Consider the following 25,088-nt stretch of genomic DNA (forward strand, 5'->3'; position numbering starts at 1 on the left):
TTGCACATTGATTTTGTATCCTGAGACTTTGCTGAAGTTGCTTATCAGCTTAAGGAGATTTTGGGCTGAGACGATGGGATTTTCTAGATATACAATCAAGTCATCTGCAAACAGGGACAATTTGACTTCTTCTTTTCCTAATTGAATACCCTTTATTTCCTTCTCCTGCCTGATTGCCCTGGCCAGAACTTCCAACACTATGTTGAATAGGAGTGGTGAGAGAGGGCATCCCTGTCTTGTGCCAGTTTTCAAAGGGAATGCTTCCAGTTTTTGTCCATTCAGTATGATACTGGCTGTGGGTTTGTCATAGATAGCTCTTATTATTTTGAGATACGTCCCATCAATACCGAATTTATTGAGAGTTTTTAGCATGAAGGGTTGCTGAATTTTGTCAAAGGCCTTTTCTGCATCTATTGAGATAATCATGTGGTTTTTGTCTTTGGTTCTGTTTATATGCTGGATTATGTTTATTGATTTGCATATGTTGAACCAGCCTTACATCCCGGGGATGAAGCCCACTTGATCATGGCGGATAAGCTTTTTGATGTGTTGCTGGATTCGGTTTGCCAGTATTTTATTGAGGATTTTTGCATCAATGTTCATCAAGGATATTGGTCTAAAATTCTCTTGTTTTTGTTGTGTCTCTGCCAGGCTTTGGTATCAGGATGATGCTGGCCTCATAAAATGAGTTAGGGAGGATTCCCTCTTTTTCTATTGATTGGAATAGTTTCAGAAGGAATGGTAAGAGCTCCTCCTTGTACCTCTGGTAGAATTCGGCTGTGAATCCATCGGGTCCTGGACTTTTTTTTGTTGGTAAGCTATTGATTATTGCCTCAATTTCAGAGTTTGTTATTGGTCTATTCAGAGATTCAACTTCTTCCTGGTTTAATCTTGGGAGGGTGTATGTGTCGAGGAATTTATCCATTTCTTCTAGATTTTCTAGTTTATTTGCGTAGAGGTGTTTATAGTATTCTCTGATGGTAGTTTGTATTTCTGTGGGATCGGTGGTGATATCCCCTTTATCATTTTTTATTGCATCTATTTGATTCTTCTCTCTTTTCTTCTTTATTAGTCTTGCTAGTGGTCTATCAATTTTGTTTATCTTTTCAAAAAAACAGCTCCTGAATTCATTGATTTTTTGAAGGGTTTTTTGTGTGTCTATTTCCTTCAGTTCTGCTCTGATCTTAGTTATTTCTTGCCTTCTGCTAGCTTTTGAATGTGTGTGCTCTTGCTTCTCTAGTCTTTTAATTGTGATGTTAGGGTGTCAATTTTAGATCTTTCCTGCTTTCTCTTGTGGGCATTTAGTGCTATAAATTTCCCTCTACACACTGCTTTAAATGTGTCCCAGAGATTCTGGTATGTTGTGTCTTTGTTCTCGTTGGTTTCAAAGACCATCTTTATTTCTGCCTTCATTTCGTTATGTACCCAGTAGTCATTCAGGAGCAGGTTGTTCAGTTTCCATGTAGTTGAGTGGTTTTGAGTGAGTTTCTTAATCCTGAGTTCTAGTTTGATTGCACTGTGGTCTGAGAGACAGTTAGTTTGTTATGATTTCTGTTCTTTTACATTTGCTGAGGAGTGCTTTACTTCCAACTATGTGGTCAATTTTGGAATAGGTATGGTGTGGTGCTGAAAAGAATGTATATTCTGTTGATTTGGGGTGGAGAGTTCTGTAGATGTCTATTAGGTCCACTTGGTGCAGAGCTGAGTTCATTTCCTGGATATCCTTGTTAACTTTCTGTCTCATTGATCTGTCTAATGTTGACAGTGGGGTGTTAAAGTCTCCCATTATTATTGTGTGGGAGTCTAAGTCTCTTTGTAGGTCACTAAGGACTTGCTTTATGAATCTGGGTGCTCCTGTATTGGGTGCATATATATTTAGGATAGTTAGTTCTTCTTGTTGAATTGATCCCTTTACGATTATGTAATGGCCTTCTTTGTCTCTTTTGATCTTTGTTGGTTTAAAGTCTGTTTTATCAGAGACTAGGATTGCAACCTCTGCCTATTTTGTTTTCCATTTGCTTGGTAGATCTTCCTTTATCCCTTTATTTTGAACCTATGTGTGTCTCTGCACATAAGATGGGTTTCCTGAATACAGCACACAGATGGGTCTTGACTCTTTATCCAATTTGCCAGTCTGTGCCTTTTAATTGGAGCATTTAGCCCATTTACATTTAAGGTTAGTATTATTATGTGTGAATTTGATCCAGTTATTATGATGTTAGCTGGTTATTTTGCTCGTTAGTTGATGCGGTTTCTTCCTAGCCTCAATGGTCTTTACAATTTGGCATGTTTTTGCAGTGGCTGGTACCAGTTGTTCCTTTCCATGTTTAGTGCTTCCTTCAGGAGCTCTTTCAGGGCAGGCTAAGCTCCACCCAGTTCGAGCTTCCCAGCCACTCTGTTTACCTACTCAAGCCTGGGCAATGGCGGGTGCCCTGCCCCCAGCCTCACTGCCACCTTGCAGTTTGATCTCAGACTGCAGTGCTAGCAATAAGCGAGGCTCCGTGGGCATAGGACCGTCTGAGCCAGGTGCAGGATATAATCTCCTGGTGTGCCTTTTGTTAAGGCCATTGGAAAAGCACAGTATTAGGGTGGGAGTGATGTGATTTTCCAGGTGCCATCTGTCACCCCTTTCTTTGACTAGGAAAGGTAATTCCCTGACCCCTTGCACTTCCTGGGTGAGGCGATGCCTTGCCCTGCTTCGGCTCATGCATGGTGCACTGCACCCACTGTCCTGCACTCCCCAGTGAGATGAACCCGGTACCTCGGTTGGAAATGCAGAAATCACCCATCTTCTGCATTGCTCACGCTGGGAGCTGTAGACTGGAGCTGTTCCTATTCGGCCATCTTGGCTCCCGGTTTTTCGAATTACACTCTTTTTGTTTGTTTGTTTGTTTTTTTTTTTTTGAGACAGAGTATTGATCTGTCACCCAGGCTGGAGTGCAGTGGCATGATCTCAGCTCACTGCAAGCTCCACCTCCTGGGTTCACCCCTTTCTCCTGCCTCAGCCTCCCGAGTAGCTGGGATTACAGGTGACTGCCACCACGCCTGGCTAATTTTTTGTATTTTTAGTAGAGACAAGGTTTCACTGTGATTGCCAGGATGGTCTTGATCTCCCGACCTCATGATCTGCCCACCTTGGCCTCCCAAAGTGCTGGGATTACAGGCGTGAGCCACTGCGCCCGGCCTGAATTACACTCTTTTTAAATATTAAATCAACCTTGCATTTTTGTGATAAACTTAAGGTATCTTTTTTATATATTCTTTAATTTTATTTGATGATATCAGGCTTATGAATCTTCTGTCTAGGTTTGTGAGTAACTTTGACTTACACTTTTTCTTTCTTGTAATATTCTTGTCAGGTTTTGATATCAAGGTTTCCTAATGCTTTAGATGAACTGGGGAGAATTCCCTCTTTTTCAAAAGTCTTTGGAAAAATTTTTGTAAAAGTTTTGCTATCTCTTCCTTAAATGTAGTAGATTTCACTACAGATGCCATCTAGACCTGAAGTATGTGTATATGTGTGTGTGTGTGTGTGTGAGCATTTGAAACTATAGATTTGTTTCTCCATTATATGTAGGACTATTCAGATTTTCTCTTTCTTTCTGTATCAGTTTTGGTAAGTTGTGGGATTTTTTTTTTTTTTTGAGAAATATGTCCATTAAACCTACAGTTGCAAATGTATTGGTATGGAGTTGTTTATAATAGCTTCATGTTCTTCTTAGTTCTGTGGGATCTGTAGTAGTATCACCTTTTCCATTCCTAATATTAGGTACTTGTTCCTATACTCAATAAGAAGAAATGTATTTCTTTTTCAGATCCTGGGGCTTTATGGATCTAGAAATGCTGGTGTAGATGTCTTTTACCTCTGTGTTACCATTCCTAGCACCTAGCTCTCTCCTCCTACCATCACCTGTAGACACTAAAACCAGGCTAGGGAACCAGGGAGTTCCACTAAATATTACTGGTATAATCACCAGTCTCTTATTTCTACTGCTCTATTTTAGTTGATTTTTAGACTAATATTTATATATTTTAAGTTTTTATTGAAGTATAACATACATACACTATATCATACAGCTCAATGAATTCCCAGAAATGTACCTGTATAATCAGCACCCATAAGAAACAAAACATTACTAGGACTCCAGAAGCCTTCACCATGCTCCCTTCTAGTTATACATTCCACAAGGGTAAGCATCATCCAGACTTCAAATGGCATAGATTGGCTTTGTCTTCCTATAAATGTCTCTATTCTTTCACTTAAAATTATGTGTTTGAGAAGCATTCCTACTATTGCATATAGCTGTAGAATGCTAATTTTCATTGCTGCATCATATTGCACTGTATTAATATATCATAATTTATTTATCTAGTGTACTATTGATGGGCATTAGAATAGTTTCCAGATTGGTATGACTACAAATAGTTATACTGTGAACACTCTACTTATTTCTTGGTCAACATATGTATGCATTTCTTTTGGATATATACTTAAGAGTGGAATTGCTTGGTTGTAGTGTTTGCATATGTTCAGCTATAGTGTACATAAAATATACTAACAAGAAGTTTTACAAAATAATTCTATAAATTTACACTCCTTACAAGCAATGTATGAGAGTTCCATTTTTTTCTACATTCATGCCAACACTTGATATTTTCCATCTTTTTCATTTTATCAGTTGGCTACATGTGTAGTAGCATTGTATAGTGACTTTACATAGCATTTTCTTGATGTCTAATAAAGGTAGGGATCTTTTTATTTATTGGTTACTTGGTTATCTTCTGTGTTTACTCAAGTCTTTTGCGCATTTTTTTAGAGTTAACTTTTTTTCATTATAAAAATTATGTATGTTCATGATAGAAGATTTGAAAAACATAGAAAAGTATATACAAATAAAATTCACCCATGGTTCCATTAATTTTTAAACACTAGAACATTTATAATTTTACCACTTTATATTATGCAATGTAGTTATAGTTGTAAGGTAGTTATAAAATAATACAGTCTTTATGTTTATATTTTCCTAAACAATTATTCACCCCCATTTTTCTTAGGGTCCTCAAAAACACATAAAGAAATAGGGACTTAGGGGAGGTCCTTTTTTCTTTCGACCTTAAAGTCAGTTGAGGATATTAGCCCCTTAATCTCATCTGATCATAGGGTACCCTCTTGCTGGTCACAGGGCCAAGCCTATTTCTGGCTTTTCTGTGTTTGAGAGTAGGCACAGCTGGGAATCATTTGTGCTGAGTTTGTTCCTTCTCCAGGTTAATGACATCACCACCCTCCTTCTTTCCCGAACCAGACACCCAAGTCAGCTCCTACTCCTTTTTTTCACACAGCTCCATTTCACCAAGTCCAAACCTTTCCTTCCCCGAGCCAGTTACCTAATTTGGGCCTCTTCTGTCTTCTGAATTATTCCCCTCTATTGTTACCCCACTCATTCCTCCCCCTCCAGTCCAGTCCATTCTTCATGCCCCAGGAAGCCTTTCTGAAAAGCACATCTAGCCATGTCACCTCCCTGCTTACAGAATTTTAGGGGCTTCCCAGTGTTCTCATGTAAGATCCAGCCCCTTCAGGTAGTCTGCCTGGCCTCTTCCAATCTGGTCCCAGCTTTCTCTAGCTTCACCTGCTGCCACTGATAGATCATAGACCTCTGTGCTTCAGAGCTTTGGTTCAAAGTCCTCTCTGCTTAACATGTCCTCACCTTGTTTCTCTGATGGCAAAATCCTGTGCACATTTTTCAAAGTCTGGTTCAAGTGCCATCCTGAGCTCCTAGACAGAATTAATCTGCTCTCTCCTGGTTGTTGTACAAACCACTTAGCCCAGTGAATTGCTGTTGTTTCTTTGTCACCTTAGTCACACAATGCATTTCTCAAATCTTTATCTCTTGCATCCTGAGCACTTGGCACAAGGTCTGGCATATGATGGGTGTTTCATAAACATTCAAGGGATGCCTAAAAGGATTAACAAAAGGTAAAAAGCAAAGGAAACTAATGTTAGTTAAGAACTTGCTATGTACTGGGCACTTTACTTTTATGTTATCTTTTAAACTTCCTAACAATCCTATGAATTAAGTGGTATCCTTATTACTCCCATTTTTTGTGAATGAGAAAATTAAGGCACAGAGAAATTTAGTAGTTTGCTTGTGGTCGTACAGCTAATAAATGGCAGGGCCAAGATTTAAATCTAAGTCTGGAAACAAACTTAGTTGTTTACCATGAAACCAACTACTCACAGATTATCGTAATAATGATAATGATAACAACCATTAGGATAGTAATAATAAAATGATCACAGTACTTGACATTTGTATATTACTTGTCAGTTCACAAAGCATTTTTTCATCCATTATTGTTGCTTGAGTCTCATCACAAACATGAAGTTGGAAGAATTATCCACCACCTCTAACTGACTAAGAAAATGAAGTTTGAGGATTAAAGTGCTTTGCCTAAGGTCACAGGCTTAGTAAGCAGCAGAGCTGTAACTTAAATCCAGGTCTTCTAGCAATAAGTCCAGCAGCGGATGGAGGGTGGACAAGATCCCAAAGGAAGAAGTGCTTTGACATAATAAGCTGGCTGCCAACTCTGCCTGACATCCTCTCCATTCCCTTTGCAAGTCTTACTGGAGCCATAGCAGCTTCTAGGAGGTGGAAGGAAATCACAGGCTGAAGGTTTCCACCATTTCTGTAGGGTGGGGAATTCTTTGCCTAAGAGCTATTGTTTGTCTTGTCAGGAAAAAAAATTAAAAAATAAAAGGAAGAGAAACCAGCATATATAAACATTTTTTAAAGTTCCACGGCACCCAGATTAACGTAAGAAACAAAAAGCTCTCTTGGGCGGCTGCCCTGTGTTAGCCACCCCCAGGCAACCCCCTGTAGGCACTGCCCACCAGGGCTGCCTAGGGAATCTCCAGTCTCAGTGAAGAAAAGGATAAAACAACACAAATTCTCTAGGAGCCTCATTATTCAAACAGTTCCAGAGGCAGTGAGAAGACAGCAGTGACTTTGGGAGAAGCACAATCTTATCTCCAGGGTGAATAGGACCATTTGTTGTTTATGTCCAGGAAAGCAGGGCAGCACAAAAAGAACGGGAGAACTCACAGGAGAAGGGCACCAGAAGCCAGCAGCTGATCTAAAAATCCTCTGCAGAAACAATGGCTTCTCCCGGGATGAGCTGCGGCCCCTTCTGAAAACAAAAGCTCTCACTGAGGAAATTGGTCTTTTGTGGTTCTGGCAAGAAGCAATCCAGATAAAGCCTGGCCTGACCCTCTCCCCTTATGCAAAGGAGACATAGGACTAGTCGGGAAGTGGGGGAAGTTTGGGGGTACTGATCTTCCAGTTCCCCTGAACACTCCACAGAGGCCACTGCTCTTCTCCCAGGGAGGCTCCAGGGCATCCTGGTGACCGGCCTCTGAGTCCTCTTTCAGAGTTGCTCTGTGGCCTGTGGTCTGTCCCTTTCTTGTTCCAGCCAAAACCCAAAGCTGCTGTTGGACTAGAGGCCTCTGAAGTTTTTCTGACAATTTTTGAACTTGGGCTAAAAATAAAAACTGGTCTGGGACTTTGAAGCAGGCCCAAGCTTTGCCCTTACTCTTGAACCCTGCCAGCAAAAGCCCACAAATTTCAAAGCACGCACAGTTGGACAGGGAGCGGGCTGCCAGTCAGCAGCTGCCCCTCCTGCCAGATCACCATGGGTCCCTCGGATGGCCCCCAGGTCCCCTTCATTCTCTGGGGCCTGAGCTAGGGATGCAATTGAAGCTGACAACAGAGACTTGTTTTTCTTGGCAGCTCCCAGATTTGTATTTAGGAGGGACTTGGGAGGGGTAATTTGGTGGAAAAGGGTCCTGGGGGAACCTCGTCTTGAGCATGTGTTTGCATAGCAGGGGAGTGGTTTTTGTTCAGATTGCAGGTTTAATTGGGGTGGTCTGTAGGAGGGTGGTGGGGGTGGAGGTACTAGAGCCTCTTCAAGCAACCCTTATGCAGTGGTTTCCTTTAATGAGCACTTCAGTGGCATGAGAGAGGGATAACACCCAGGATCAGAGCAGAATTAACTCTACCCACAGTCTCGGGGGCAGGGGGAGCCAGGCTATTCTTAAGGCTTCCGCTGGAAAGCGCTCAAGTACCTGCAGCATAAGACACCCTAGGCCAGCCTTGGAGAGGGGAGGTGGAATCATTCCTTAGAGGAGCTATCTGAGGATTCCTCTGCAGTGCTGATGTGGGAGAGGAAGCCACAATGGGGACGGCAGCTCATGTGTGTGTCCTTCCTGTGCAAACAAGACAGTGACCAGGCTTAATCAGTGTTTGTTAATAGCAATAACCGACCTGTATCTTGTTCTGGAGCTAACCAAATGCTTCCATATACCTTCTCTTATATAGTCCTCCAAACAAGAATATAAAGTATTCATAATATTAATAAAAACTAAATTTTGTTGAGTGCCTTCTATGTGCCAGGCAAAGTGCTCAGTGCTTTACACAACAGGGAGCTTTTTGCATAGAGGTCTACAGATCTCCCACAGAGGTAGAATGAAAATTTGGGGTCTCTGTGGACTGTTGAAATTCCAGGAATGATTTTGCATGTAGGCATGAAGGAGCTCGTTCCTGAAGTGAAAGGCTGTGACTTTCATCCAGTCCTTAAAGGCATTTAGAAACTACGAAACGTTTTTTTAAAAAAAAAACTACTTTAAAAGTAGAATTTCATTTTCTAGATTGTTTTGATATCAGGGTTATTCTTCACTCCAGCAGGTCTGGATACCTTATTCCTGTTCTCATATTGCACCTAATAGATACCTTCATTGGAGCAATTATAAAACTCTATTGTATTGTAAAGGACTCTTAAAATTATTTCCCCCTCATTCATCAGATTATAAACTCTTTGAAGACAGGTATTAAGCTTTATTTGCAATTGCATGCACGAACGAACAAATTTAAGTCTTCCTATGGTGAAACTGATCCTATTTAAGTGCTTGAGTGTGTAAGAGAGAGTGTGTGTGTGCTTGGGGAAGGTGGGCCTCGCTGAGGTAGTGGTGAGAAGGTGGCTGTGTGGAGAGATTCGGGGCTGGTTTGCAGGAAAGCAGAGACAGCGAGTGGCGGGCGCAGAGCCAAGGGAAGCCATGTCCTCGCATCCTGGTGGCACGCAGGTTTGGCTCAGGACCGGAACATCTCCTGCATGCCTCTCCCTGCCAGCGCCCCTGTGCCTCCACTTTCCATGGCATCTATTAATGATAAAAGTCCCCGTGGTTTATAATTACCAGTTTGACAAGTTCAGGAGTTCTCTGTTAATTATTATAATTAGCTTTCACTCAGCGAGGCTTCGGGAGTTTAACAACAATATTAACAACGAGAGGACGATGATCAGGAATTGACTACAAAGAATTGACTGGAAAGACTTCCTTCTGCTGTCAGGGAAACTTATTAATGAAGGCAAAACCTGCACAGTGGCTCCCCTCCCTGTTTCTGCCTGAACTCGGCGATTGGTTCTAAATTTGCCTTGGGGAATTGAAAACAACTGTTGCGGCTAGCGCTTGCAAACCCCAAGCTTAAAATCAACCAGGGAAGAAAGAAGCAGCCACTAAACGGACAGCTGTGGGTCCTCCTTGACCAGAAATTGGGTGGAGGCAGCAGCCAGGGAAGAAAACACGAACCAAAGTTGCCAGCCATGGCCCCATACCTGGTTCTTAGGGAGTGAAGCCATGCACAAGGTGTTAGGAGCAGGAAAGAGGCAAAGGAGGCCTGGGCCGTCACTGGGAGCAGCCAGCAAATGCACCGATTGCAAGGCAGATTGCGACTGCTTTCTGCCCACCTCTCAATGCTGTCATTCCCTTGGTTGTTCCCTGCCTGATGGCCCTCTACATCTCTCACCTGAGCACTGCTGGACCTCCCTGGACTCTTGGCCTCCATTCCCTTTTCCAACTCCACTCCAAACTCACAGACCTGCGAGATTACCCTTCCTGAGGGCCAGCTCTGATGACCTCACCCCTCCCCTCAAAACCCTTCAACGGTTCCCCATTGCTTATGGCATACAATTCAGAGTCCCCATTTTGGCACCCAAGGCCACTCAGTCTGGGCCCCAACTTGTCTTTCCAATATTGTCTTCTACTAATCATTCTTTCAGTCCTTCACTCAGATGATAAATATGTGCCAGACATTGTTTCAGATGTTACTGCATCTGCAGTCAACAAGACAGACAAGCTCCCTGCCTTCCAGGGGCTTTAACTCTAGCGGAAGAAATCAGAAAATGGACCCATAGGTTAATACATAATATCATCAGAGAAGACGATGAGTTCTCCATGGTCATGATATCCCAAAACATGCCAAAGGCACAGAGAATGACAAACAAGGCTTTCTAGGAGGTGGCCCAAGGCAAGCACTGCAGGATGAGGTGCCAGGCTCCTGAAGAGCGTTCTAATCAGAAGGAATGGCAAGTACAGCATCCCTTGGCAGGCAGCCGATAATGTGAGGTAGAGAAGGAAGGCTGGGGGACTTGAACTAGGGCAAAGTGATCAGAGAGGCTGGCAGGGCAGATTATGGAGATGCACAGGGAAATAAGGTATCAGGTGACTGCTATATTCTGAACTCCTCCCTTGCTACTGCTCTTCTGCATTCTTGCAACTCTGCCAGCCTGCTCATATTCCCACAGACAGGAGGCTGAGGTTGTTCTCTGGAGAAGAAGATCACAGAAAAAAGACTTCAAGGTGTGGACATTGGGGGATCCCCAAGGACATGGCTGGGCCCTGCTCTATAGGCTATTGGGTCCCAACAGTTGATAAGCCCTTACAGGGAATTTCCCGTAAGGCTTTTATACCTCATGCTGAAGGGCCACCCAAGATCACCAGACACTTAGAGAAACCCTAAAAGCAATGCCCAAATTATCAGGGAAAAAAAATTGAGAGGAAAAGAAAGCAACCCAGGAAGCAGAAGAAAAACGTGAGAAGAAATAAATCCCCATAAAATATGTGGAAAGAAACAAGAACAGGATGTTATCATTATTATCAATCAATCATTTTTAAGGAACAATGAGAAAATAAGAAAGAGCTCTTGGAAATTAAAGCTATAGTGGCTAACATTTTTTAAAAAATCAATGGAAGATTTGTAAGACAAAGGGAAGTAAATCTCCCAAAAACTGAAAACAAAACAATGAAAAATTATCTGATGGGAAATGGAAGGGAAAGGACAAACATATGAAGTAAGTAAGTTACTGTGTTTTATTGAATCAATGAAATAATAGTACGTGATAGCTGCAAGTCTTTTTCTATTTTAATGTGGAGAAAACTGAGGCTCCAGGGAGCTTAAGTAATCTTCCCAACATCATGCATAGTGTAATAGCAAAGCCAGAGTTTGAACCCACGTCCGGATGACTCCAAAGCCATGTTGTTTCTGCTCAGTTGTGCCCCAAGAAAAGCAGGCTCAGCCTAGCTTTGCTGGAAGATGCAGAGTGGGAGGGAGCTGAGAACGCAGGTTCATTTGAGAGCATCATATTTTCACCTTCACTGCACATGAGTGAGTATAACGCACATGCTTTCCATCTTCAAAAGCTTTCTGTGATTATATACAAAAGAGAACGCACATGGCTTCAATATAGGGTTCTTTTCTCTCCTAGTCTGGAACTGGCCTGAAATCCCAGTAATTCTTTATACTGGGATTTTATCTGATAAAGTCATAAGCATTCAAAACATAAAGCTGCCCTTTTATCGGACTTAGTGGAGCATTTTCATAAAGTGTCAGTGGGATTGAGGAGACGGTTGTACATCAGACCATTCATCCTGGTGGATTAAATCATGACATATATTTCAAGTCGGGGAAAATGTAGTGTCAGAGGAAACATAAGCAATAACAACTGGGACTGGCAGAACTGCTGATGAATGGGCCTATTCTCAGCTGCTGGTCATAGACAGTGGAAGGAAAGAGACAGGAACCCCAGAAGACTGGCTCTTGTTCCCTGGGAAAGAGGAGAAAAGAAGAGAAAGATTAGGGGACAGTGACTTCCTGTGGATCAAATTAGGCCTATCGGAATAGAGGTGAGGTTCTACAGCCCACAAAATATTCCCTCTCTTCCAACCTCACTCTCTTCCTTCCAGGAGACAGAAGACAAAGGTCAAACCTATCACCTTGATTATTGGTAAGGGTTACTTTGAGGATATGACTTCAATAAATATGCGATAACAATGGGCCTCCAGATATTGCTTGAATCAGAGAGGTTTGATCGTAGGTGTCAGGCATCAACTCTTCCCTGTCAGCTCCCAAGGCAGAGACTTTCCCCACTATGCTTTTATGAGGGTTGAAAGCAGAACAGAGAATGCATTGGTCAGAACAATTCATATTTGTGTTCTGCCAGATGATTCAGAAGATAGTGCCTTTTCTCGGGAGTTGTGGGGAGACTGTTCTTAACACCTGAGAACACTTACCTTCTAAAGTTCTGTGGCACCCAGATTAGCATTTCGCACATGGTAGAACTTCAACGAGTGCTTTTTAGATGGATGGGTGGATGGATGGATGGATGGATAAATGGATAGATGGATAAATGGATGGATGGATACATGGATGGATGGGTGAATGGATGGATGGATGGATAGGTGGATAAGTGGGTGGATGAATAGATGGACGGATGGACAGATGAACAAAGAGATGGATGAATGGGAAGAAGGAAAGAAAGATGAAATGATAAATAGACAAGCAGTGACTTGGTAAGTCGAATGATGGATATGTGAATGGACAAATTGAGGAATTATAGAAGAATCATAGTGATTAAAATAATAAAGCTATAAAGAGGAAATCATAAGATGAATGGAAAAATTACATATAAAATGTAGTTTCATTTTCGATGATTTTTTGAGTCTGACATTGTAACATTGTCTTCCTACAGACAGATTATATAATCACACCATGTCTCCCCATGACACACTCCATGGTTACCAACACTTCCTTACCCCAAACTCCTCTACTCTCTTCCCTCTACCTCCTTCAATTTTTTAGATGAAACTTGAGTTTTCATTCAATCAGACCCACTAATGCTATGTGACACTGGGCATGTCACATCAGCCCCTATAGCCCTAGTAACTTTGCCTGGATAAATGAGAGGGTTGATTCAGGTAATGCTTGGAGACCCTGTTATGCTGGGATCATTGTCCTCATTATTTTTAAAATGTGAAGAAATATCAGATGGTTATATAGCACAAGAATGATATTTTGGGACTATCTAACATTTCCAGTTTGGGAACCAATGAAATAACCTGTATTTTTTATACATCTGAGGACATGGCTCCTTTTCTTCTCATGTGAGAGAGAGATAGAAGGTTAGAAAGAAGTATGGGGGAAGACTAACCTCTTGGTGCTGGCCATAGGACCGTTGCACCCAGCTTTCTTGAGCTGGCAAACTCATTGAAAATAGGAAGGAAGTAAGAGGAGCTGAGCTCCACAGAGCTAGTTCCTCCCCTAAAATCACCAAGTGGATAAGCAGCTAATCCTCTCTGGGGAAGAGTGGGTGAGAATGGAGAGGGGCCAGGTGTGTTCTGCTAAGTAACACTCCTCCACTGGGAGGAATCATGAGGAGTGGGGTCTATGCTCTCTTTAGATCACAAGCAAATGCTGGCATACAGTAGGTTTTGTGGGGTAGGGATGGCACTTATGGAGTACCAGGGAGATAATCCCTTTGCAGAGTGTGAGAGAGAATGGCATGTTCGTTTTCTTTTTGTCCTCTTTGTATAGTATGTTTTGATAAGCATTTGGCTACTTCGAAGTGATTCATTTCTAGTTTTTCTTACTAGTTGGGAATCTTGTGGTCTGGAGATATCACTATGCCACCCCCAGCAATGCACTTCATCTTCTTGGGTTTCAGTTGGTCTGTCTGTGAGCTGGGCATAATACCAACAGCCTTATTCACCTTACAGGGTTGCTGCAGGGATCAAAATGCAACATGGTAGGTTAAAAAGAAATCACAAGTGCTAAATATCACAGAGGATTGTTCCCATGACTCCCAGTATGGCAACTATTCAACCCTAAGGCCCTTTCCTTCCATGGGCTGTCCTCCTGATCCCTCTCCCCATAGGGCACCTCCTTGCCTCTGACCCACAGAGATGCTCAGGAGAGAACTTCCATGGCCAGAATTCTGCCCTCTTCTGTGTTTCTGCCCCTACCCCTATCTCTTAGTACCTGTGCCCAGCCACAACCAAAAAGAAAGAAAAGAAAAGAAGATAGATATTTAAAAAATCTCTACACCTTTTGCTCAGAAATGGCACTGCCGGGGAGGTCTTAAGACATAGTGATTAACTTTCTCCGAAAGCCAGTGCACCTGGGAATACACAGCGAGACACAATAAGCCGAGCAAATATTAGACAAATATCACTTTTCTGCATTGCCCACTTTGCTGGAGATGAATGGATTGACTTTTCAAACACTACAAGAGCGAACCAGCCAGCCTGGATTCAAGATCAACATCACTTGCCTTTTTTTCCTTTGTACCCCTCCCTCCTTTTCTAATTTCTAGAGTAAATGTATACAAAATATTTATCTAAAATAGAGGCACTCAGGAAAGCAAGCTGTGCAAATAATTAGCGATCTGCAGCCCTTGTGTGCCTAACATGGGTGACTCCAGTCTCTATTTTTCGGCGGCCAGGCACTCATGTTGACCCCACCTTGCCTTGCAACCCAGGAATACTTGGGGAAGCCTCACTTGGCTCAAAGCTGATGTTCTCTGGAGCTCTTCTCCTCCTCCAGTGAGTGATGGGTTGGAGGGGCAATGGCATGGTGCTGTGCATTGACAGGACCTCTAGAGGCATAGAGACACATATTCTCTCAAGAAAGAGCTAGGCATCTGTAAGTGGGCTTAGGTTAGATTTGAGAAAACATGTTAGAGTGGGTCCTGTTTGAATGTGAAATAAAGGGAATAAAGAAGGCTATGGAATTGCTGCCTAAGGTGCAACAGGAACACGCAGAGTGGAAGGGTTGTAGGTCAGGTGATGCCTGTGAATGAAAGGAAGATTGTCTTGAGGCAGAAAGATGCTTGAGGTGACCTTTCAGTGTTCCTGCCTGCTGGAACCAGAATCCTAAGGAGCCAATGCTGGATGGTAGCTCTGAGGTCATGGCGCTTTATCAGTAGTTGAGGGAATGAGGTCTGACAGGGTGGAGGGGCTTTCCCGATGTCATACAGTAAGGCAGTGGCAAAGATGAGATTGCAGGCTTACCCTGAGCCGTAGCCTGCCTAGCTGGGACTTCATCTCCTATGCCTTCTTTTGTGCTTAGCTGTCTCTGAGTCCCTGGCACAGGCTGGCCATGTGCTGAACAGACTGGTCTCCTGGGTCATGAACTACTCATTCTCTCACTTGGAGCATCACTGTGGCCCTGACCCCCTGACTGATGCCCTACCTCACGGCGTGATGTCACTGTATGCATTACACATTGCATACATTACACATCTCTGCATGGGCTGAGATGCTAGCTCATTCCATATTGTCACTCAGTGCCCCCAGTATTGGTCTTACACAGTCTCAGCTTCTTTTCTTTACCCACTGCCTAAGGCAAAGGTCTTGGCATGCCTTTCTGATGAGTCTGTTTGCATTAGGGTAAAATTGGTGAAAGTAGGATTTTTCTCATTGCTCCAGGCCCCAACTGATGGTGGTCACCAGGATGTGACATTCTCATTTTTCTTGCAGGAGGAAGAAAGATTGTTATCTTCTCTCTAGAAGAGGGAATGACAGGAAAGCTGCAGCAGCCAGGGTTGGAAGACAGACTGTGGTTTCTCATCATTAGAAAAATTAAAGTATACAGACAGAAATGTGGTTTTGCTTCATAACTGTATCCTGTCAACTAAATATTTCATTTAGACCTAATGCCTGAGCCAAATGAGAATCTCGAGCAAAACTGCACTATTAGAATACACTTAATTATTGATTCAGCCAGGCAAAAAATAAAAAATAAAGAAACCGGGCGGTACTCTAATTCCTCTTATCAAGCATCTCGAGTGCTAATATGCACTTGAACAGCTGCTATTATCCTGGGGAGCCCACTGCCTTCAGCTGCAAAATGTACAACTTTACACCAGCCACATGGAGCCAGAGTGGAAGCAATGACTGAAACACATCCTCTTTCCAGCTCAGGGAGGCTGGGAGCAGAGGTCCTGTAGCCAGCACCGTGAGGAAAGCCTCTCCCCATACTTCTTTCTAACCCCCTATCTCTCTCTCACATGAGAAGAAACGGAGACATTTCATCATGTATATAGAAAGTAGCAGATTATTTTATTGGCTCCCAATCCGGAAATTTTGAATATTCTCAAAATATCATTCTTGTGCTATCTGCCATATTTCTTCATGTTTTAAAAATAAGGATGATGATCCAAGCACTAGGTTCTCCAGGCATTATCTGAATCAACTCTCTCATTTATCCGGACAGTTACTAAGGCTCTAGGGGCTGATGTGACGTGCTTACAGTCACATAGCATTAGTGGGTCTGATTGAATTAAAACTAAAGTTTAATCTAAACAAATTGGAAGAGAAAGAGGAGGGAAGAGAGTAGAGGAGTTTTGGGTAAGGAAGTGTTGGTAACCATGGAGTGTATAGTGGGGACATGTGGAGCGATTATATAATCTGTCTGTAGGAAGACAATGTTAGAATGTCAGACTCACAAAATTATTGAAAATGCAACTCTGTTTTATTTGTAATTTTTTTCTACTTATATGATTTCCCCTTTATAGCTTTATTACTTTAACCACCATGATTCATCTATAATTGCTCAATTTATCCATTCATCTATCCATCATTTCACTCACCAGGCCACTGTTCCACTTGTCTATTTATCATTTCATCTTTCTTTCCTTCCTCCCATTCATACAACTGTTCATCTATCCATCTGTTCATATATTCATCCATCTATTCATCCATCTGTCCATCCATTCTTCCATCCATCCATTCATCCACCACTCATTTATCCATCCATCCACCCATTCACTTATCCATCCATCCATCCATCCATCCATCCATCCATCCATAATTCACCTATCCAGGAAGCACTCATTGAGGTCCTACCAGGTGTAAGGTGCAGTAAGGTAAGTGTTCGCAAGTGAAATGACTGTGTTGCATTAAGACAGTCTTCCCACAAGCTCTTGAGGAAAAGTACTGTCTTCTGAGTCACCTGACAGAATCAAAATATAAACTTTTCTGACCAATGTGTGCTCAGTGAGGCATTTATCATCAAAATTAAGGAAGTTTCCTTAACTTTCTGCAGACAGAGGTGATAGCATTAGCAGATTGGGAGAAGCCTTTAGAGGCCATCTTGTCCCCACCTCCACTCTCAAGGTAGTCCTTGAACTAGATCCTACTATCTTGTCAAAATTTGTTCCCACAAATGATGCTGATTGATTTATGGCTCTCTTTTGGATGACTAATCATGCAAATTTCCCCAGGACTGAGGAGATGCCCCAGCAAATTGGGATGAGTTAGTCACCTTACTGCCTTTGTTTGCACAGCTCCTTCTACCTGGATTGTAATTTTCTTGCTTCTGTCTGTGTAACTCCCGCTTAGTTCAAGTCCTACTGCTTCTACAAAGATTTACCTAGATATTTTTCCTTCTTTAAAATTTCATTGCAATTAGAGTCACTGCCAGATCACTACTGTGTGTACAGTGACGTTGTGTGAGTCTATTGTCTTTATTAGCTTATGTGCATTACTCTGGAAGCTCTAACAACATTGGAAACTTCTTGAGGGCAGAGACAGTGTCTAACTCTTGCCTCATGTTGTGTTTACTACATCTCTTACAAACAGAAGGTTCTCCACTCCATCTAACCTGATTCCCTCATGCTGAATTTTAAAGCGTGTATTTATTTCACACTCTTCTCTCAGAAAAGATAGACAGGAAGTCATGTTCCTACCAGTACTAGACTAGTTCTCTAAAACATGAAACCAATGACTAAAATCACTCCCAGCCTTTTCTCTCTCTGTCTCTCTCTCTCTCTTTCTATCTCCCTCTCCTCTCTCTTCCCAATGAGGATCTTCCCTTTGGTCTATCCTGCAAGGCACCATTTCTCTTTTCTATTATCCCTTTCTTTTCTTTCCATTATTCTTCAAATGCAGAGTCCAGACTGGACACGGTGTCTAAAGGGAGTCTGGCCATACTTGACATCCATGTCTGCCTTGAGAGTGTGGTGGCCGCTGCAAGCCTGGGAGGCCCATTGGCCAGGTTCTGACAAGCTGTATCACACCGTCCTGTATCCACAGGAAGAGGCCTGGGAGGTCTAGGAGGCAGCATTCTATCTTTCAGAAGGAATGGTGAGCAAGGGCCCAGCTTTTCTTTGGAAATCCCTACCTCCTGTCACCAGCAGGGCCTGTGATCACTGGCCTTGCCCTGACACCTTGGCTGCCTGGGGGAGTGCTGCAGCTTCTTTGTGCACTGATGTAAAAGAAAATGCCCGCAGAGGCCTGAGGGATGCACAAAGCAACCAACAGTTTGTGGTGTTAAGGAAAACAACATTGGAGACGCAGAGGATGGGAAATAGGAAATCGATGGCAAGTGAAGACTGGACAGAGCAATTAGGACTGGCAGCCTGGCTCTTGCCTGTGGCTTGTTGGTCAGTATGAGCTGTGGCCTGAATTAGTGTTCACCTGAAAAATAGCATGTCCCTGAGCCCCCTCCCACTTCCAAACCATGGGAAATCTATGGAGACAGTGAGGGTTATGGAGGTACGGCAGATCAACTGCAAATATGTGCTGCAATTATTTTTTGCCTTCCTGTATCCATATACCTTGCACTGTGACTTTGCTGACCCTCCTAGCATGAGGAAGAGTTTGCTTTTCTATCCCTTAAATCTGGAATGATGTGTTTTTAACTTGCTTTGGCTAATAAAATGCAGCAGAAGTGATAGTGTGTCAGCTAAGAACCAAGAAACCAAGAATCCAAGAGCTCCTGTGTACTTCTGTGTCTTGGAGAAGGCATTGCCATGTGAAAGCCTGAGCTAGCCTACTGGGTGATAAGAGATGAATGGCCCAGTCACTCTGTTGCCACAGCCAGTAGCTAATGATCAGGTACAGGAATGATGCATTTTAGAGCAGCCAGCCCCCAGCCAATCCACCAGCAGACAACAATCATACCCTTGAGCCCAGTCAAGATCAGCTATGCCTGGCCCAAGTCAGTGGAACCACCCAAAAGGCTTACAGGCTTGTGAACAATAATACGTGTCCATTGCTTTAAGCTGTTGAGTTTTAGGATAGCTTGCTATGCAGTAATTGTTAACTAATGCAGAGACTGAAATGGTGGAGGGAAGTCATGTTGCCTGCCAGAGCTCGAGGGTGTTGGGATGAATCCAGTTCATCATTTATTGCACACAGGACTCTACATGATCTGGACTTCTCTTATCTCTTTGGTTTCACATATTGCCATGGGTACAAACATCCCCGCCCACCCTACCCCTTCCCCCAAAACTACCAAGTTCTAACCTTACTGAGCTCCTTGTACAGTTTGAACTCTTGCTTTGACTTCTGCTTTTCCTCTTCTGAGGACATTGTCCCATATCTCCTTTCCCATTGCTTGGCTAACTTCTACTCAATCCCCAGGCTTTCAGTTTAGCTGTCACTCCCATCTACCGTTACCTCATCTCTGTTCTTTAGTTCTCTTTATTTATGCCTCGTTGACACTTACCACATTATATTGAGGTCGAATATCCCTCCAAGGTCATGTTCTCTGGCTCAAAAAATACTGATGGCTGGGTCTTAACTGGACAATGAAATCCTGGGGTTGGATGTCCACAGGTCTTAAGGCACACAGATGATTCTTCTGTGCAGTCAGGAGTGAACCACTTCAGGTCAAGTCTATCTGGGCAGAAATGGATGTGTGTGTGTGTGTGTGTGTGTGTGTGTGTGTGTGTGTGTGTGTGTGTGTTTGGGGGGGTGTCCTGACATGAACATCTGCAGCTACTTCTCTATTCCCCTCAGCTCTGCTCAACACTACTGCTCCGTTTGTTATTGACCACTGCCTGGAACTCCAGGGTCGCTCCCTCCCTCAGTGTCATATTCTCCTGTCACTCTGTTCTCAATCGAAAAGGGGTGTAAAGAGGCTGAAATTTCTCTATGTTGCCCTATTCAACAATTTCCACAAAACCACTAACGACAGCTATTTTGTATGACATATTTTACTTAAGTGATATAAGGAAAGGCAGAGGGGTAGCACACAGCAAAGAACTTAAAACAAATACTAGCTTGGTCTTAAAAGTCCTTTGGATATTCCCATCACCATCAACTTCTCTAACTTTTGCCTCTTCTGGGTAATGGGTTCTTTCATTTTCCCCAATTCTCATGATGTTCTCTATTTATATCCATTACTGCCTCTTGACTCTTCCTAGTAAGTCTACTCAAGGGAATTAACATTTCCTTTTTACAATGAAAAGCAATACCTTGACTCACTCTCCTCCTGGCAGGCCAGGCCCTGAGCCTTATCTTTTCATCATATGCCCATCAAGGTATATTGCTAAAGAGAAGAGAGCTCTCCAATTTCAGAAGTTCTGCCTAAGCTTTAACGTAAGTTATTTTTCCCCCGCTCCCTGTAATTTTTGCCTATTTACTTATCAGCTCCCCATACCCCATAGTAGATAGTGAGCAATTTGAGTGCTAGTTCTATATTGGTTATGTTCACCAGTGTGTTCTAGGGTTGAGCAGAGACACATAGTAGTTGCCCAATTAATATCTGCTAGACAAATGATTCATGAATGAAAGAATACAGGGATCCTATGTGCCAGTATGAAGCTGTGCAAGGTCTGTGCCTTAACCTGCCAGGAGGAAAAAACCTCAATGAAGGAGTCCTTGGAGAATGACAAGGGTCAAAAAATGGGGGAAGTCCAGTTCCATTGTTAAATCTACAAGGTGAAAGTTCAGTTTGAAACAAGGCAATCTAAAGGATCCTACACCGAATGACTGAGAATGAAGTGGGGAGTAGTAGGGCTGAGGACCAGGGACTGGGGGTTTAGGGGGTCATGTGTCACCATGTGCCACATGGTATGTGGCTGGGCAGGGTTTCATAAAGCAGAGCTGAGGAGGGAACATGGGTGTTTTGTCCCCCAACCCATTTCAGAATCATTTCCCTCTCCCTTAGTATGAACTTGGGTGTGTATGTATTTGCACGCAGGCACACACACAATCACAGGTATTTATGTATGGAGCATTTGGATCAGACTTTTAAGAGCAGATGTGAAAATGCCAGTGACTTTAAAACATGGCTGATGGTAAGAACAATTTTTTTTTCCTTTAAGGAAATAGTATAATAGGGTGCCTAAGACGACTGGGTTTTGGAGTCAGGCAGTCTGTAATGCTGGCTCCACCTCTCAGAAGTGGTGTGACTTCAGGATGAGGAAACTGCAGGGGCCTTAGTTTCCTGAACTCTAATAGTAAAATAACAATACCTAATGCATAGGCTTACTAGGAGCATTAAGTAAAATAAAATTATCTAATATGTGTGAAGTACTTAGCATAGTCTCTGGCATGCAATAAAATAAAACTATTGTTAGTGTTAATAGTCAACAAATACTTCCTGACTGTCGACTCTGTGTCTGATGCTTTGCTAGGATAGATGACTATGAAGAATAAGGCTGTTTTCACAGATGTTCCTGGGTAAAGATACGCTTTAAGTATTTCCCTTGCATATACTATCTAAGGGCAGCAGGTAGCAATTGGGGTTTATCCTGAGTGTTCGATCCAGGTATCTAAAGACTTGGCCTTTTGAATGCACTGGTGACTCTGGGCTGAGAGAAGGAAAAGGCACCACCTTCCAGGAGAGAGATTATCTATGGAGCAGCCCATTCGGCCGCATCCTAGGTTTTCCTAGGAGATTTCCCCATCGTCCAAAAACCAATGAGGTCTGACCTTGCAAGATGGATGAGCTCCCAGCCCAGAGCCATGTGACTGCAGCTGAGGACGAGCCCATTCATAACCCAGGCACAGACAGACCCGTTAGCGACATTGCTGCGGGCGAGCTATTACTTACAATGTAGTTAGTGTCGTTTAACCAGAATGGATGGGACACAATGTTTGAAAGAAGAGCCCTGAATCTGACCAAGAGGAAAATAAGTTAGAGCAGCAGCGGGCTGGTCTAGGGAAAGAGGGGGCAGAAACAGGGGTTTCCACTGAAGACAGGTCCTCTCTACTCAATACAATTGTTTTTCTTTATTAATAAAATGTTCAAGATTAAAGCTCCCACTGAAGGATCTGATGTGAGGTTAAATCATTGGGGAAAAGTGGACATGGCTGCAGAAAGAGAAAATACAAATTATATGGGAGAAAGAATAGCAGGGCTTAGGGACGGTGGTAACCATGACCATAGGGATGGAGCAGTGGAAATTGTAACTGTTTGGAATTTTTTCTAAGGCCTGATGTCTGGGAGCTCGTCTAATTCTGCCACTTTAAGGGTCTACTCTGCAGTCCTCAAAGTTCAGATGATTCTTCCCCAAACCATCAAAGACAGCCCTGGCTGTCTCTGGTGAGTATGTGTGTGTGTGTTTGTGTGTGTGTGTGTAAGCATCAAGTTCTCAGCCCAACAATGATTTATTTTCCCTTACAGAGTTCTTATGCCCATGAGGATGACCTATGAATCCCAGAAAGATACAGGTAGATAAATTTTCCATTCTCCCCCAACCTTGCTCCCTTTCTAGATTCCTTGGAGATTATCAGCAATGGCAAAGGCACAAGAAAATATATGTGAACTCTTGCTCCTCAGAAATATGTTGTGGCCAGTTTCCTGATAGGACACACCAGTGGATCCTATAATTCCAGCAGCCAGCTTGAGTCCCATCTCCCCAGTGAAGTCTTTCATGAACTACCCTGACCCCCATTGCTTTCTTCTGCACCTGGCAGGAAGCTAGTAGCTATAGAGCAGAAGAGTATAAGGTTTGGGTGAGACAAATGGGCTCCAACCCAAGATCTACAACCTTTGAGCTGTGTAAACTTACCCTTTTAAGTATCTGATTCTTGCTATAAAATGGATTAATCATAGTGCCTACTTCACAGAGTTGCTGTGATTATTGAGAAGATGTATATAAAGTACTTAGCATTGCAAGCATTCAATAAAGACTACTATTTCTCTCTGGCAACCTCCCATCATCCTTTTCTGTTTCCAGAATTGAGAATCACCAGAGAACTCTGTTCCAGGAATCAAGTGATTAAAGTTACAGTTCCAGTGTCATCACTAAATAGCAAGGTGACCTTGGATGCCTCATTTTATCAAATCTCTCCATTTTTCAACCTCTAAAAGTAGGATAATTTCACAGATTTGTTATAAGGATGAAAAGAGAAAATGGATGGGAAAAGTTTGTGAAAGCCTTTGAGATGTAGGACAATAAAAATGGGAAGAGATCTGCTGGGATGTTATCTAGCCCAACCTTCCACCAGGGGCTCACTGAGACTCTGCATGGAACTTTCACTAATGGAAAAATCACTCCCTCGCAGCAAGGTTTCATTGTTGGCAGACACAAAAAGGACTTTCAAAAATTATTTTTAAAATTTAAGAGATATTATGTCTCTAGGATGATATACATGTTTCAAGTAGTATTAAAAGCCACACTGATGGATATGTAATAATAAACGTATCTGTTATTAATTTTTAAAAAGAAAGAAACATTATGTAGTACCAATTTGCTTGCCAATCACCAAGTTTTTTCCTGGGACATAGCAGGCAACTAGACAATGCACGGAGCATACATAGGGTGCAGACTTAGAAAGGTTTTCCATGCATTGAAGTGAGTTGGATTTCCTGTAGCTTCTTACCTATTGAGTAGTGCTGCCCCCTATGTCAATGACCATCACCGTCTCCCCAAACACACACACATATACACAGCAGGGTTCTTAATTCCAGCTTTCTTCAATGGTTCCTCATTAGATATATGACCCAGTATGAGCAAAGTGTCCTCCTTCACTTTTACCCCTCACCTAGAGATTAGAGAAGCAAACAATTTGCATATGGTTCCAGAGTTATTTCTTCCAAAGAAATCATGTAATAGGATAACACTAGCTGCTGAAACAAATAAGCCCCTCAGTCTGGCTTTAGCACAACAGATATGTGTTTTCTCATTTACCTAATGGTTTTATGCTAGAAGCCCTCCAGATGGTAATTAGGCTTCAGAACCCTTCAATATTGCCTCTTTATTCTCACCTATGGCTGCAAAATCTTCTGCGTTTAGCTAGTAGATGGGAAGAGACTGTGGAAGATACACCTATTTCTTAAGCTCCATTATTTGAAGGTGATGTACACCACTCCTGCTCACACTCCATTGACAAGAATTCTAGTCCTATGGCCCTTCCTGGCTTCAAGAGAGACCAAGAAATTATAGTCCCTAATTGGGCGGCTAGTTGCCATCATCAAGTCTCCAATATAGAAGCTAGCTATCCCTGTCATGAAAAGGGCCAATTTTATAATAGTAAGAGTAACAGGCATTTGCGAGCGACACAGGTAGTCTTTGGAAGGAAATTGCCACTGTGGTACTTTCTATTTCATTTTCAAGACCTCTTCCCAGCCTTCTTCCACCAAATTTGCTGCATAGAATTTATCTTTCTCCCCACATTGTGGAGACAGCAGGAACTGAGCAGAGAAGAATTTCTGAGGCAGCAGATTTAAGAGCCAAGAATAAAGTGGGGACTGACTCTTTTTTCTAGGATAGGCATGTGGGGACAGAAACAACAGGTCAGGGAGGAGTTAAATGACAAGGACTGTGAGAAAGCAGATGAGTGAAGAGGTGAAAGCAGGAAACTGAGAGCACCCACATGGGATGTGTGGGGCCACATCCTTCTGTGTGGTGCTACATCCTTCTGTGTGGTGCTGGCAAACAGGTAAGCTTAGATGAACCTATGCTCTATTTCCCTTTTTCTCTCTACTCCTTCCCTTTCTATTTTATGGTTTTGGGGCTGATCACCTGAACATTTTACAAAAGAACTATTTAAATGCCAATGGGATTAGTGTCTTTTGCATAAGAAAAGTGGGCTAGATGGTATTCAGAATGGATCAAAATGAGTCATTCTTTGGTCTTATGATAAGCATTAGCCCACAACCTCAATTTGGAATAATCAAAAGTGAGGAATAACCACCAGGAGATGATGACCCCGCATGAGAGATATTCAGTCAGTTCTCTCGTTGCTT

The 25,088-nt window shown here is 42.6% G+C and overlaps 1 long non-coding RNA gene across 1 annotated transcript in view; it reads left to right on the forward strand.

Annotated features, from left to right (window-relative positions):
• Positions 1–23,166, forward strand: part of LINC02698 (long intergenic non-protein coding RNA 2698) — a 242,222-nt gene extending 219,056 nt beyond the window's left edge. The window contains exons 3-5 of the long non-coding RNA XR_001748394.3: positions 22,328–22,439; positions 22,521–22,567; positions 23,077–23,166. This is a non-coding gene — a long non-coding RNA (long intergenic non-protein coding RNA 2698). The remainder of the gene's footprint in view (positions 1–22,327; positions 22,440–22,520; positions 22,568–23,076) is intronic.
• Positions 23,167–25,088: the final 1,922 nt, after the last annotated feature.

This window comes from Homo sapiens, chromosome 11 (genome assembly GCF_000001405.40).
Source record: "Homo sapiens chromosome 11, GRCh38.p14 Primary Assembly".
Classification (NCBI taxonomy): Eukaryota; Metazoa; Chordata; class Mammalia; order Primates; family Hominidae; genus Homo; species Homo sapiens.